General features: G+C 35.7%; 1 protein-coding gene across 13 annotated transcripts in view; it reads left to right on the top strand.

Moving 5' to 3' along the window:
• EXOC6B (exocyst complex component 6B) overlaps positions 1–16,161 on the top strand; it is a 650,050-nt gene that overhangs the window by 349,670 nt on the left and 284,219 nt on the right. For 11 of the 13 annotated variants that reach the window (NR_135773.2, XR_007071495.1, NM_001321734.2 and 8 more), the window contains one exon: positions 11,025–11,204. The exons of 1 other annotated variant lie outside the window; for it this stretch is intronic. Coding sequence is in view for 10 of the 12 variants with exons in the window: in NM_001321734.2 (NP_001308663.1) it covers positions 11,025–11,204 (180 nt within the window). In the remaining 2 variants the exon portion in view is untranslated. Of the gene's footprint in view, positions 1–11,024; positions 11,205–12,023; positions 14,894–16,161 lie in introns of those variants that run through there. One more of the 13 variants, XM_011532712.4, reaches the window with a different exon arrangement.

Below are 16,161 nucleotides of genomic sequence, written 5' to 3'. Positions count from 1 at the left end.
AGAGAGAACACTGTAATTCAATAGAAAAGTGACAGTAAATGCCTAAACCAAGGAAGGGGAAGGAAATTAGGCAGTCTACTCAGTAGGATCAGCTGGGAGCTGAGGGAGACTCCTTAATACGAGGAAAGGGTTAGTAGAAACTTTCAGTGGTTTCCATTTCCACTATGGAGTCCTGAAATCCTGGCAATAGGAGAGTCTCTTGACCCTCACTTGCCCTGAAACTAACATAGGAAGATGCTGAGAGATTGTGTGATGGCACTGGTCCAGGGAAGGAGCTCACACCAGGTCACACACATTCCATGAGACCTAAGCAGCTATAGCAAGCCGCCATCTTAGAGCCCTGACTCCAACAGATAGCGCATTATCCTGGAGACCACTGGTACTGGGGCTGAGGTGCAGGAGAAGCACACTTGCTGCCTCCCAGCTTAGGTGCCAGTGACCAGGGGCCACCCACACCAGGGGCCGAGATGCTATCATGATGCATGCTGCTGCCATTGAGGCTGAGGCATGAGCAATGTATCAGCTAGGGCAGAGGGGCTGAGGAAAGAGTGCCACTTGGGCTGTGGTGAAAATGGTGTGTGTGTTTTCCACCTGCTGACCTAACCTAGGTTGCCCAATACTGAAGGTGGCACTGCCCTCCCCAGTGGCAGGGAACCAGCACAGCTGCTGCCACCTACCATCAGAGCATTTTACTTTTCTAGGGATTGCCTCACCCCTAACTACTGCATCTGGTGCCTATACTCATTATCAGAGGGCTTGAGGACAAGTTTGGCTCAGCTTTGACCTGCCACCCCCCAACCCCTGTGCCAGAGCACACCAGAAGCAAGAGGATCACCTAGCCCTGTCCTCCACAGTTGGCACCTGAACACTCCTCCCAGGTGCCTGAGGTCGGGCCTACCCACATGACTGCTACTACCACAGCTGGCACCTACCTGCATACACCACCTGTGTGCCTGGAGACCAGCCCACTCGGCTGAATGCAACCAACACCAATACCCGTGTGAACCACTTGGGACTAAGAGGATGTTTCTGCCACTGCCATTGTCATCATTCACATCAAGCTGGCTGCCCCAGGGGTTCAAGAACATCCCCACCCACCCCACCTACTGTTGTCACTGCTGGCATCCAAGTAATCTGTCTGGAAACTCAACAATTGGCCCATCTGGACTCACTAACAATGGTGCCAGACCACCCTGGAGCCCAAAGACACACATACTCATCCCACTGCTGCCACCACTGGGGCTCAAAGACCGACCTACCTGGTGTTACAGTCCCCAGCAAAACCACAGCCTCATTTAATAATTGCACCCTGAGCCACTGAAGAAATTATAGATACCACTGGTACTATTTATACCTGAAGGAATCGTACAGAGTTTACACTACTGCACTCAAAATAACAACCAAAGTGTCCTACCCAACTAACAGCATAGATACATCTTCTGGAAAATGTCCTCCCCTACCAGAGCAAATTTAAAAAATTGCAAGAAGTGACTGTTATAGTAGATGTACAGATATGAATATAATGGTACAGAAAATAAGAAAAAGCCAGGACATATGACACCTCCAAAGGAATAATTCTCCAACAACAGGTCCCAAAGAGAAATTAATGAAATCTCAGAAAAAGAAGTTAAATGATTGATTCTAAAGACGCTCAGTGAGAAACATGAGAATTCTGCAAAACAATACAAAGAAATCAGAAAAACAATGCATGATATGAATAAGAAATTTGCTAAAGAGATTGATACCAAAAATATAACCAAACATAAATTATGGAACTGAAGAATTTATTAAATGAAATGCAAAATATGTTCAAAATCTTCAACAGTAGACTAGATCAAGCAGAAGAAAGAATTTCAGATCTAGAAGATAATTCTTTATATAAAATAAAAGAAAAAACAACTAAAAAAAGAATGAGCAAAGCCTTTATTACATACGGGGCATCATAAGAGACCAAATTTTCAAATTATAAGGGTTCCAGAAGGCAAAAAGAAATAAAAAAGAGTTGGAAAACTTACTTAATGCAGTAAGAGATGAAAATTTCTCAAGTCCAATGAGTGATTTAGACATTCAGATACAGGATGTGCTGAGATCCCCAAAAGGACACAATGCAAAAAGAGTATTCTCTCCACGGCACATTATAGTTAAACTATCTAAATGTAAACACAAAGATTTCTATAAACAGCAAGAGAAAAGCATCTAGTTACCTATAAAGGAATCATCATCAGACTAACAGTGGATTTCTCAGAAGAAACCTTACAGGCCAGGAGGTGATGGGATGATATTTTGAAAGAGCTGAAACAAGAAAAAAAAAAAACATGTTGGGCAAACATACTATATCCAGCGAAATTATTCTTCATAAATGAAGGAGAAATACAATCTTTCTCATACAAGCAAAAGCTGAAAGAATTCATCACCACTACACTGGCCTTACAATAAATTCCTCAAGGGAATTCTAAACTTGGAAATAGTGAGTGACATTTGCTATCATGAAAACACACAAAAGTATAAAACTCACTGGTAAAGCAAACAAACAAATGAAGAAGAGAAAGGACTCAAATAGTACTACTGCAGAAAACCACCAAACCGCAGTAACAAACAGTAAGAGAAAAGGAAAGGAACAAAGAATACACAAAATAACCAGAAGATAATTAATATGATAAAGGGAAGACCTCACATATCAATAATAATTTTGGGTGTAAATTGATTTAATTCTTTACTTAAAATATATAGACTGGTTGAATGGATGAAAAAAACATGATCTAGCCATATGCTGCCTACAAGAAACATAATTTACCTTTAAAGATGCATATGAACTGAAAATAAAGGGATAGAAAAAGATATTCCATGCAAATGTTAACAAAAAATGAGCAGGCATAGCTATACTCAGATACAACAATTTAAATAAAAAACAGTAAGAAAAAGACAAATAAGGTCATTATATAATGATAATGGGATCAATCTAGCAAGAGGATGTAACACCAAATCCATATTGGCATCCAACACTGGAGCACCTAGATTCATAAAGCAAATATTGCCATATCTAAATAAAAAGGTGAACTCTGATATAATAAAATTGTGGCACTTTAACACCCCACTGCCAGCACTAAACAGGTCATTGAGACAGATAATCAGAAAAGAAACATTTGTTTTAAACTGGACTTTAGACCGAAAGGACTTAACAGACATTTAGAGAACATCTTACCCAACAATAACAGAATACACATTCTTCTCATCAGCACAAGGAACATTCTCCAAGATAGACCATATATTAAGCCACAAAACAAATCTCAACAAATTTTTGAAATTCAAAATCACATCAAGTATATTCCCAGATCACAATGGTGTAAAACTAGAAATCAATACCAAGAGAAACATTGGAAATGATACAAATACATGGAAATTAAACAACATGCTCCTGAACAACCATTGGTTCAATGAAGAAATTAATATGGAAATAAATGTTTTTTGGAACAAATGAAATGGAAACACAACATATCACAACCTGTGGGACACAACAAAAGCAGTACTAAAAGGGAAGTTCATAGCAATAAGCACCTACATCAAAAAGCAGAAATATTTCAAATAAACAATCTAACAATATACCTCAAGGAACAGGAAAGCAGCAACAAACCAAATCCACAATATCAGAAGGAAATAATGCAGATCATAGTAGAACTGAAAAGAAAAATATGAAAAGATGAATGAAACAAAAAGTCGGTTCCTTGAAAAGGTAAAATTGATAACAACCACTAGCTAGACTAACCAAGAAGAGTACAGTGAAGACTCAAATAAAATTATAAATGAAAACAGAGACATTATAACTGATACCACAGAAACAGAAAAGATCATCAGGGACTGTTATGAACAAATATATGGTAACCAGTGGAAAATCTGTAGGAAATGGATGAATACTTGGAAATGTACAACCTACTAAGATTGAATCAGGAAGAAATGGAAAACCTGAACAGACCAATAACGGGCAGTGATTGAAGCAGTAATAAATAGTATCTGAACAAAGAAAAGCCCAGAACCAGGTGGATTCACCACCAAATTCCACCAAACATATAAGAATAACTCATACCAATCCTGAAACTGTTCCAAAAAATTAGGGAGAGAATTCTCCGTAACTTATTCTGTAAGCCTAGCATTACCCTGATACCAAAACCAGAAAAAGGAACAACAACAAAAGAAAACTACAGACCAATATTCTTGATGAAAATAGATGCAAAAATTATCAGCAACATACTAGAAAACTGAATTTAATTAAAAGATAATGTATGATGATCAAGTGGGATTTAGACCAAGAGTGCAAGGATGGTTTAGTATATGCAAATAAGTAAATGTGAAACTTCACATCAACAGAATGAAGGGTAAAAACCATATGGTCATCTTAATAGATGCAGAAAAAGCATTTGATAAAATTCAACATCCCTTCACAATTAAAACTCCCAACAAGCCAAATATAGAAGGAACATACCTCAAAATAATAAAGGCCACATATAGCAGACCCACAACTAACACCATCCTGAATGGGAAAAGGTTGACTGCCTTTCCTTTAAGAATGGGCAAAAGCTGGAACCATTCCCCAGGACAAGGATGCTCATTCTCACTACTCCTATTAAACATAGTATTGGAAGTCTGAGCTAGGACAGTCAGAGAAGAGAAAGAAATAAAAGGCATCCAAATTGGAAAACAGGAAGTCAAATTGTCCTTCTTTGCTGATGATACGATCTTTCATTTAGAAAAACTAAAAGGCTCCATCTAGACCTAAAACCATAAAAACCCTAGAAGAAAACCTAGGCAATACCATTCAGGACATAGGCATGGGCAAGGACTTCATGTCTAAAACACCAAAAGCAATGGCAACAAAAGACAAAATTGACAAATGGGATCTCATTAAACTAAAGAGCTTCTGCACAGCAAAAGAAACTACCATCAGAGTGAACAGGCAACCTACAGAATGGGAGAAAATTTTTTCAACCTACTCATCTGACAAAGGGCTAATATCCAGAATCTACAATAAACTCAAACAAATTTACAAGAAAAAAACAACCCCATCAAAAAGTGGGCGAAGGACATGAACAGACACTTCTCAAAAGAAGACATTTATGCAGCCAAAAGACACGTGAAAAAATGCTCATCATCACTGGCCATCAGAGAAATGCAAATCAAAACCACAATGAGATACCATCTCACACCAGTTAGAATGGCGATCATTAAAAAGTCAGGAAACAACAGGTGCTGGAGAGGATGTGGAGAAATAGGAACACTTTTACACTGTTGGTGGGACTGTAAACTAGTTCAACCATTGTGGAAGTCAGTGTGGTGATTCCTCAAGGATCTAGAACTAGAAATACCATTTGACCCAGCCATCCCATTACTGGGTATATACCCAAAGGATTACAAATCATGCTGCTATAAAGATACACGCCCATGTATGTTTATTGCGGCACTATTCACAATAGCAAAGACTTGGAACCAACCCAAATGTCCAACAATGATAGACTGGATCAAGAAAAGTTGGCACATATACACCATGGAATACTATGCGCCATAAAATATGATGAGTTCATGTCCTTTGTAGGGACATGGATGAAGCTGGAAACCATCATTCTCAGCAAACTATAGCAAGGACAAAAAACCAAACACCACATGTTCTCACTCCTAGGTGGGAATTGAACAATGAGAACACATGGACACAGGAAGGGGAACATCACACACCGGGGCCTGTTGTGGGGTAGGGGGAGGGGGGAGGGATAGCATTAGGAAATATACCTAATGCTAAATGACGAGTTAATAGGTGCAGCACACCAACATGGCACATGTATACATATGTATCAAACCTGCGCGTTGTGCAATGTACCCTAAAACTTAAAATATTAAAAAGAAAAAACTCTTAGAGCTGAAAAACAAATTCAGTAAAGTTGCAGGATATAAAATCAACATACAAAAATCAGTAGCCTTTTTATTCTTCAATAATGAAACAGTAAAAAAGAAATCAAGAAGGCAGTCCTATTTACAATAGCTTCAAAAACATTAGAATACCTAGGAATAAGTTTAACCAGGGAGGTGAAAAATGTCCGCAATGAAAACTACAAAACACTGATGAAAGAAACGGAAGAGGACACAAACAAATGGAAAGAAATACCATACTTATATATCAGAAGAATTAATATCATTAAAATGACCATACTTCCCCAAGCAATCTATAGATTCAATGCAATCCCTAACGAAGTATCAGTGTCATCTTTTACAGAAATAGAAAAAACAATCATAAAATTCATAGGGAACTAAAAAAAGAACACGAATAGCCAAAACAATTCTGAGCAAAATCTAAAAGTACATACAAATAAATGAGGGATTGAAGTAAGGTTAGGAATGCGTGAATGATTAGTATTAGAAAATTTTTCAAAGTTACTTACTACTTTAGAAGATCAAAGATGGAAAAATATGAGTATTTTGAAAGATACTAAAATCTTATTTTATATGTTAACATCTATTGTCATTAAAATTTCTGGAACACTTCTACTGTAACTGACAAATCCAGGAGGCAGAAAAATCAGTGTATATATATAGTTGAAATGACTGACACCATCCATCAAGTGAATCTAATGGACATTTATAGAATGTTTTATCCAACAACAACTTATACAAAATATTCACCAAGACGCACCATGTTCTAGGCAATAGAACATCCTTTAAATAGGAATTATACTAACATTCCTCTCAGACCATGTGAAACTAAACCAGAAATGAGTAACAAAGATAGAAAATGTCAAATTATTTGGAGATTAAACAACATATTTCAAAATAAAACATGGTCAAAAAAAGTCTCAAGAGAAATATTTCAAAATAAACAAGAATTAAAATACAACTTATTATAATTTGTGAGATGCAGTGAAAGCATTACTCAGAGGGAAATTTGTACCATTAATAACATATATTAGAAAGAAGAAGGATCTAAATTTAATAATCTATACTTACACCGTAGGAAACTAGGCAAAGAACAATTTAAATCTAAAGTGAGCAATAATAATAATACCAATAATGAAAATTAGAGCAGAAATCAATGAAAATGAAAACCAGTATAGAAAATCAGTAGAGAAAATCCTGGATGGATGAATAGGTGGAATTCAGTAAATTTTTAGGGCAGTGAAACTATCTAAATGATACTGTAATGGTGAATTAGTGACATTATGCATTTTTAAGTACCCACAGAACTTGATATCTCAATGATTACACCCTAATGTAAACCAGGGACTTTAGTTGATAATAAAATATCAATATTGTTTCATTAATTGTAAAAATTGTACCACACCAATTTTAAATAGGGGTAGTAGCCTGGAGGGTAGTGGTATGTACAGAGGCAGTGTACTTGCTGCTTAAGTTTTCTTTAAACCTAAAACACTAAAAAATAAAGCCTATTAATGAAAAAGACTTTTAGCAAAACAGAAATTCAAGGACACCTTAAGATTATTATGCAAGTAATGTAAAGATGAAAGTATAGAAGTGCTCATTGAAATATTTAGAAGACCTGTTGAAAAACTACAAAACATTGAAGAAAAAATTGAAGAAATAAAAAGATATCCTAGTTTGTGGATTGAAAAATTAACATCGTTAGAATTTCCATATTACCCAAAGTGATCTACATATTCAATGGAATCCCTATTCAAATTCTAATGCATTTTTCATAGGAATAAAGTAAATAATAGTAAGATTCATATGGGACCACTAAGACTCCAAATAGCAAAAGCAATCTTGAGCAGAAAGAACAAAGCTGGAAGCATCAGTCTACCTGACTTCAAAATCTACTACACGTTATAATAATCAAGATAGCGTGATTCTGGCGTAAAAACATACAGACCAGTGGAACAAAATAACCCTGACATAATCCTACTCATGTACAGTCAGTTAATTTTTGACAAAGATGCCAAGAACACACAAAAGGGGAAAGGATAGTCTCTGAAAAAATAAGTGGTGTTGAGAAAACTGGATATCCACATTTACAAGAATGAAATTTGTTCCTCATCTCACACCATATATAAAAATCAGCATAAAATGGATTAAAGACTTAAACATAAGACCTGAAACTAAAATTACTACAAAATAATATAGGGAAAAATCTCCATAACATTGTTCTGGGCAATGATTTTTTTTTTAAGCTATGACCCCAAAAGCACAGGCAACAAATGTAAAAAAAGACAAATCAGATTGATTATATCAAACAGGAAAGCTTTTGCACAGCAAAGAAAACAATCAACAGTTGAAGGATAACCTACAAAATGGCAGAACAGGCAGAGCATGGTGGCTCACGCCTGTAATCCCAGCACTTTAGGAGGCTGAGGCAGGCGAATCACTTGAGGTCAAGAGTTCGAGACCAGCCTGGCCAACATGGTGAAACACAATGTCTACTAAATATACAAAAATTAGCCAGGCATAGTGGCACACACCTGTAATCCCAGCTACTCGGGAGGGTGAGGCAGGAGAATCGCTTGAACCTGGGAGCTGGAGGTTGCAGTGAGCCAAGAGTGTGCCACTTCACTCCAGCCTAGGTGACAGAGTGAGACTCTATCTCAAAAAAAAAATAAATAAAAAAGAATGGCAGAATATATTTGCAAACGATACAGCTGACAAGGCATGCATTTCTAGAATATATAAAGAACTGAAATAATTCAATAGCAAGAAAACAACCCGATGAGAAAATGGGCAAAGCTTTTGAATAGACATTTCTCAAGAGAAGACATACAAGTGACCAAGAGGTATATGAAAAAATATTCAACATCATTAGTCATCAGAAAAATGCAAACTAAAACCACAATGATATATGACTTTCCACCTGTTAGGTTGACTATTATCAAAAAGACAAATGGTAAGTATTGGAGAGGATGTGGAGAAAAGGGAACCCTTGTATGGTCTTGGGAATGTAAATTAGTATAGCCATTGTGGAAAACAGTATGGAGGTTCCCCCAAAAAATAAAAATAGAACTATCATATGTTTCAGCAATCCCACTACTGGGTTTATTTCCAGAGGAAATGAAATCAGTATGTCATCAAGATATCTGCACTTTTATGTTCATTGTAACATTTTCCACAATAGCCAAGATATTGATTTGACCTAAGTGTCTGTCAACTGGTGAATGCATAAAGAAAATGTAGTATGTATACAGAATGCAATACTATACAGTCTTACAAAAGAAGGAAATCCTGCCATTTGCAACAGCATGGAAACCTCATGGAGACATTATATTAAGTGAAATAAGGCAGGCACAGAAAGAAGAATATGCATGATCTCATGTGTAGCATCTAAAAATGTTGAATTCATAGAAACAGAAAATAGAATGATAGTTACCAGAGCTGGGGAATATGGCTGGGGAGTTTTTGGTCAAAGGATAGAAATTTTCAGTTAGATAGAAGGAATTATTTCAAGAGATCTATTCTATAACATGATGATTATAGTTAATAACTGTGTTATATTCTTGAAAAATGCTAGCAGAGTACTTTTAAGTATTCCTACCTCATAAAATAAGTATGTGAGGTAATGCATATGTTAATTATTAGGTTGGTGCAAAAGTAATTGTGGTTTTTGCCATTAAAAGCAGTTTCTTTTGCATCCAACTTAGCTCAATTTAGCCATTTCAGTGTATACATATTTCAAAAATCAAGTTGTACGTCACAAATATATAATTTTTGTATAATTTTTATTTATCAATCAAATTTTATAAAGCATTGTTCACATTAGTAAACATAGTCACCAACTATGTTATAGTATGTAAATATATTGCAAAATTATTCTGGCTTTTAAAACGTGAAAATGTAGAGGGCAGTACAAATTACAGAGAAATTTGGGAGATATAATTTACAGAACTCATTTTCTGACTGTGGAGGAAAGAATGGAATTTAAGATCTTGCTTAGATCTCTGCCTTGGTCTGAGTTGAACAGGTAAAGAGTGGTAAATATGATGAGTCTCAACCTGGACCTACTTATTTCTTTTCTTTTCTTTTCTTTTTTTTTTTTTTTTGAGGTGGAGTCTTGCTCTGTCGCCCAGGCTGGAGTGCAGTGGCATAATCTCGCCTCACTGCAACCTCCGCCTCCTGGGTTCAAGCAACTCTCCTGCCTCAGCCTCCTGAGTAGCTGGGATTACAGGCTCCCACCACCATGCCCAGCTAATTTTTGTATTTTTAGTAGAGACAGGGTTTCACCATGTTGGCCAGGCTGGTCTCGAACTCCTGACCTCAAGTGATCCACCCACTTCGGCCTCCCAAAGTTCTGGGATTACACGCATGAGCCACTGCACCTGGGCACTTATTTCAAAGTTTGTCTGGGTCAGAGATGTCCATGAAACACTCGCATATATGATTGTTGAATTAGAATGATTTTGTAGTAGATCTGTACTGAAGATAGAGATACTGGAAGCTATTGGATTTCATTAAATCACCCAAAGAAAGTGAGAAGATTTGTGTCCAGAGAAGTAAAAGGAAATCCAGGAGAAAACCATCTCATGAATTCCACGGGAAGACAGAGTTTTAAATAGAGAGTATTTAACAGAAGTTAAGGAAGATCAGAATGAAAGTGAATATTGAATGTGGTGGCAGGTACTTCATAACTTACTCTGCACAAGTCTGTGTTGATGGAATTTTAGCATTGGAATACTGGTTGTTGTGGAGTAATGTATGATCATTTGTCCTGAAAATATTTTTGTAAGAATATTAATCTCACCATACTTCTTAGAGCCTTTAATATGCTAGTGTATATCATAATCTTTTATATAGGTATGTCAAACTTATATGATCTGGGCATTCTGCTTTCATTTTAGCATCTCTTAGGATGCAAACAAAAAATTAGAAAAAACCTACACAATGGTTTTGAAAAAGAAAAAATTAAAGAAGACTGTGATATGTATGGCTCAGTATTCCCAGTTATATTCCCAGTTACTTAATGGATATGTCAGATGGCTCTAAGCTCATAGAAATTTCTGCCCATATTGAAATCTGAGTGATTTTTCAAATTTTATATTTTTTCACAGGATGCTAGACATGCAGCTGAAGAAGAGATTTATACCAACTTAAACCAGAAGATTGACCAGTTCCTACAGCTGGCAGACTATGACTGGATGACCGGAGATTTGGGCAACAAAGCTAGTGATTACCTGGTAGACCTCATTGCCTTTCTTCGTAGCACCTTTGCTGTATTCACACACCTTCCTGTAAGTGGCAGTTGCTTACTTTGTCCTTTATATATAAAAAGATTTCCTTATAATTTAGTTTGGTGAAAGATGTTAGTTTCTGCTGTAACTACCCAGGAAGATTTTCAGTATATAAAGGCGCATGCTATATTTATTAACCTTTAATGATATGTAGAGGCTACTTCCATCATTTTTTCATTGACCTTTGCATTTTTTTCATCTGAAAATGGTTCCTGGTATTATGTCTGCTTATCTTCCTATGATGTTCAAGGTAATTAGTACAAAGACAATATAAAAGCCTTGGTAGAATTAAAAAAAGAAACTTAGTTAGAATTTCAGATATGTATATTTTAGTTTTAGAATATTCTTTAACTTTTTTATATAAACTGAAATTCTTTGATGAAATGCTCCATCTTTTTTATCTAATTTGTCTATGTTTTCTCTGTTTTCTTAAGCATATTAATTATAGACATTCAAAATCATTCTTTACTACTTCTTATATATATTATACATACATATTGGTGGATTTTTTTTCTCTTGGTTTTCAGTGATATGGTCCTGTCTGTTTCTAATATTTTTCGGTTGATGTTAGACATTGTATAAAATATGTAGAGATTCCAGGTGGTGTTATCTTCCACCAGAAAAGGTTCATGTTTTCCTTTACTTAGTAAATAGAATGGGCAGGTGGGTTGTGGTTTGAAGCTGACCACCTTAGTACCATCATGGACTGATTTGGATTAATATTGGGTTGCAGTTGTAGTGTACTTTGTTTGCCCTTGTTGGTAGGATATGGCTCTGCAGAGCTTTTAAAAACTGCCTGATATGTCATTGTCTTTTTAGCACCAAAGAGGACTATAGAAATTCCTGCTCTTCACAGAAACCTTGTCTGTTCAGCCTCCTGTACTCTTTCGTTTTAGAATCTGGTAAATGTCTTGAGAAGGAGACTTAGCAGTACCCAGTATCAGCAATTGCTGATGGGAAAAAAAGTGTTGGGGATTGTCAGTGTTACTTTACCATCCCTAATGAGGTTTCAGCTCCTATGTGATCTGAATGTTTGTGTACCCCAAAAAATCATATGTTGAATCTAATAACCAGTGTGATTACATTAGGAGGTGAGGCCTTGGGAGGTGATAGATTATGATGGTAGAGCCTCGCAAATGGGATTAGTATACTTATAAAAGAGACTTCAGAGAGCTGCCTTGTTCCTTGTGGCCATGTGAGGATACGGGGATACAGGAAGAAGACTCCTTTTTTATTTCGCACTAGGAAATAGGCCTTCATCAGACACCGAATCTGCTGATACCTTGATGTTGGACTTCCAAGCCTCCAGAACTGTGAGAATTCTTTTGTTTATAAGCTACCAGTCTATGGGATTTTGTTACATTATTCTGAATGGACTAAGATAGCTCCTGTCATTTTTAGGCATTCTTCTACTAGTGAGTCTTTTTCTCTGAAACACTGTGAAACTGTGAGAAATCTCCTTGCTTTTCAAAGATTTTGGCTTAAACCCTTATTTTCCTCAGCCGTTTAGCTTTAGAATTCAGTAAATATCTTGAGGGTAAAACTAGTCCTCAAACCTCTAACTGTGGCACTCTAGTCTGTTGGAAGCAGCAAAGATTCCAAGTTTTTTTCGCCCCCTAGTAGTTAGTCTCTGCCTGGTTTTAAGATTCTCAGTCTGTTGCCCTTGTCTACGTTCCTCAAATGCCCACAAGGAAAGCTGCAGATTTTCACCTCACCTTTAAAAGGTTTTGTCCTCTCTGCAGTTTTATTCCCTTTAGTCTTCATTGCTTCACAGCACCTGATGCCTTTTAATATGTTTTTTCTACATGTTTTACTTCCTCTCCTAGTTGTTCCTAGTGGGAGCATTTATCTGCAGAAAATTATGTCATTTTGTCTAGCTTTATCCTGATACCAAAGCCAGACAAAAAGAGCACACACAAAAAAACTATGAGTTAATCTCACAATTATGGATAAAAGTAAAATAAATAAAATTTTAGCAAGTCAATTCCCAGTGTTTTAAGAAAGTAATTTTGTACTAGTGTGTAGGATTTATTCCAGAAATGCAAGGATGGTTTGATATTTTAAAAAAATATGTTAATATAATTTATCATATTACTAGGTGAGGGAGATACAGTTTCTTGATGTATTCTAGAAAGACATTTTATTACATCCAGGCTACATTCTTGATTTAAAAACAAAGTTTACTAAATTCCAAGCAGTATAATATTTTAATAACAAAATAAAGAACATCTATTTGAAATTTAGTGGCCACCATAGATTGAACAGTAGAACAATAAAACATTTATTTTCATTGACAACAGGAATTGGGTGAAGATGCTTCTCACCAACACTTTAGAAGTTCTATAAAATAAATGTAAAAAAAGAATAAATTACATTATAATGAGCCATGCATGTCTTAGTCCATTCCTGCTCCCATAACAAGATACTGTAGACTGAGAAATTTATAAACAACAGAAATTTGTTTCTCACAGTTCTGGAGGCTGCAAAGTCCAATATTAAGATGTCAGCAGATTCAGTGTCTGATAAAGTCCTGTTACTCATAAATGGCACCTCTGTATCCTTACGTGGCAGAGAAGGCAAAAAGGACAAACTCACTCCCCCAATCCCTTCTATAAGGCACTAATCCAATTAATGAGTGATGTAATCACTTCTGAAATTTTTGTGCCCTCCCCCACAAAAATTAAAAATTAAAAAAAATAACAAAGTTGCATTGGGGATTAAATTTCAATATGAATTTTGGCAAGGCTCAAACATTTCAAACCATAGCACATGCATATTATTATTCATAGGTTATTATTATCTAAATAGAACATACTAAAAATTCATTAAGACCAATAAGAGTTTAGGTTAGATGATTCACTTAGAAAACAAATAAACTTTTCTTATATTAGCAATGCCCACATAGAAAATATAGTGTCAAAAGTGTCTTATTTACTATTGGGACATAGATATAATTTTTCTATGCAGCTACTTAGCAAGTCAATTTAGAAATAATGTGACAACATCACAGAGTAATATAAAAGAGACTTTCTTATGCACAAATATATATGGTATTCCAGGATGGGAGTATTTCATTCTGTAGAAAGTTTTTTCAAATTTAATCTAATTGCAGTGAGTATCAAGTAAATTTGTTTAGGGAAGAATCTTAATGAAATCATTCTGAAATTCATTTGTAAGCAAAAATGGACAATATTTGGTAAAAAATGATAACATGAACATAATTTGTAACTCTATTAATAAGACATACAAATTAAGCTTGTGTGATATTTTTGACTATAAACTACTCAGAAATAAGAAAATGGTAACACTCCTTGTTTATAAGAAATATTTGTGGAAATAGGTATTTTCATACCTGCTGCTAGGGGTCTAGTTATTGTAGTCTTTTTGGAGTCAGTTTTTCAATATGCCTCAGAAACCCCTTAAAATGTGCTTACCTTTTTACTATGTAATTCCCCTTTTAGAATTTGAACTTAATGAAATAATCATGATTGTATTATAATATTCAGATGTAACTATATTTAATACAATGTATTTTGTATAGCGAGGAGTAGGTATAAATTAAAAATCCAACAAACAAATGTGTTCACAAACTAAATTATTGTATATTCATATAATGTGATATTCATTAAATTAATGTAAATTTATATTTATTCATTAAAAATATATTCGTTATTTCTTAACTGGAAAAAGAGATGTGATCTTATTTTAATTAATATATACACAAATTAAATATCTATATTATGTACAGTGCAAGCCTAGAATTGTATACTCCATGGTTTATCCTTATTTCTTTTTTTTTTTTTAATACTTTAAGTTTTAGGGTACATGTGCACAATGTACAGGTTAGTTACATATGTATACATGTGCCGTGCTGGTGTGCTGCACTCATTAACTCGTCATTTAGCATTAGGTATATCTCCTAATGCTATCCCTCCCCCCTCCCCCCACCCCACAACAGTCCCCAGAGTGTGATGTTCCCCTTCCTGTGTCCATGTGTTCTCATTGTTCAATTCCCACCTATGAATGAGAACATGCGGTGTTTGGTTCTTTGTCCTTGCCATAGTTTACTGAGAATGATGATTTCCAGTTTCATCCGTGTCCCTACAAAGGACATGAACTCATCATTTTTTATGGCTGCATAGTATTCTATGGTGTATATGTGCCACATTTTCTTAATCCAGTCTATCATTGTTGGACATTTGGGTTGGTTCCAAGTCTTTGCTATTGTGAATAGTGCCGCAATAAACATACGTGTGCATGTGTCTTTATAGCAGCATGATTTATAGTCCTTTGGGTATATACCCAGTAATGGGATGGCTGGGTCAAATGGTATTTCTAGTTCTAGATCCCTGAGGAATCACCACACTGACTGCCACAATGGTTGAACTAGTTTACAGTCCCACCAACAGTGTAAAAGTGTTCCTATTTCTTCACATCCTCTCCAGCACCTGTAGTTTCCTGATTTTTTAATGATTGCCATTCTAACTGGTGTGAGATGGTATCTCATTGTGATTTTGATTTGCATTTCTTTGATGACCAGTGATGGTGAGCATTTTTTCATGTGTTTTCTGGCTGCATAAATGTCTTCTTTTGAGAAGTGTCTGTTCATGTCTTTCACCCACTTTTTGATGGGGTTGTTTGTTTTTTTCTTGTAAATTTGTTTGAGTTCATTGTAGATTCTGGATATTAGCCCTTTGTCAGATGAGTAGGTTGCGAAAATTTTCTCCCATTTTGTAGGTTGCCTGTTCACTCTGATGGTAGTTTCTTTTGCTGTGCAGAAGCTCTTTAGTTTAATGAGATCCCATTTGTCAATTTTGTCTTTTGTTGCCATTGCTTTTGGTGTTTTAGACATGAAGTCCTTGCCCATGCCTGTGTCCTTGAATGGTATTGCCTAGGTTTTCTTCTAGGGTTTTTATGATTTTAGGTCTAACGTTTAAGTCTTTAATCCATCTTGAAT

The sequence above is a fragment of the Homo sapiens genome, chromosome 2 (assembly GCF_000001405.40).
Source record: "Homo sapiens chromosome 2, GRCh38.p14 Primary Assembly".
Lineage (NCBI taxonomy): Eukaryota > Metazoa > Chordata > Mammalia > Primates > Hominidae > Homo > Homo sapiens.
Note: the sequence above shows the minus strand (reverse complement) of the source record. Positions and strands in the feature narration are given on the sequence as shown.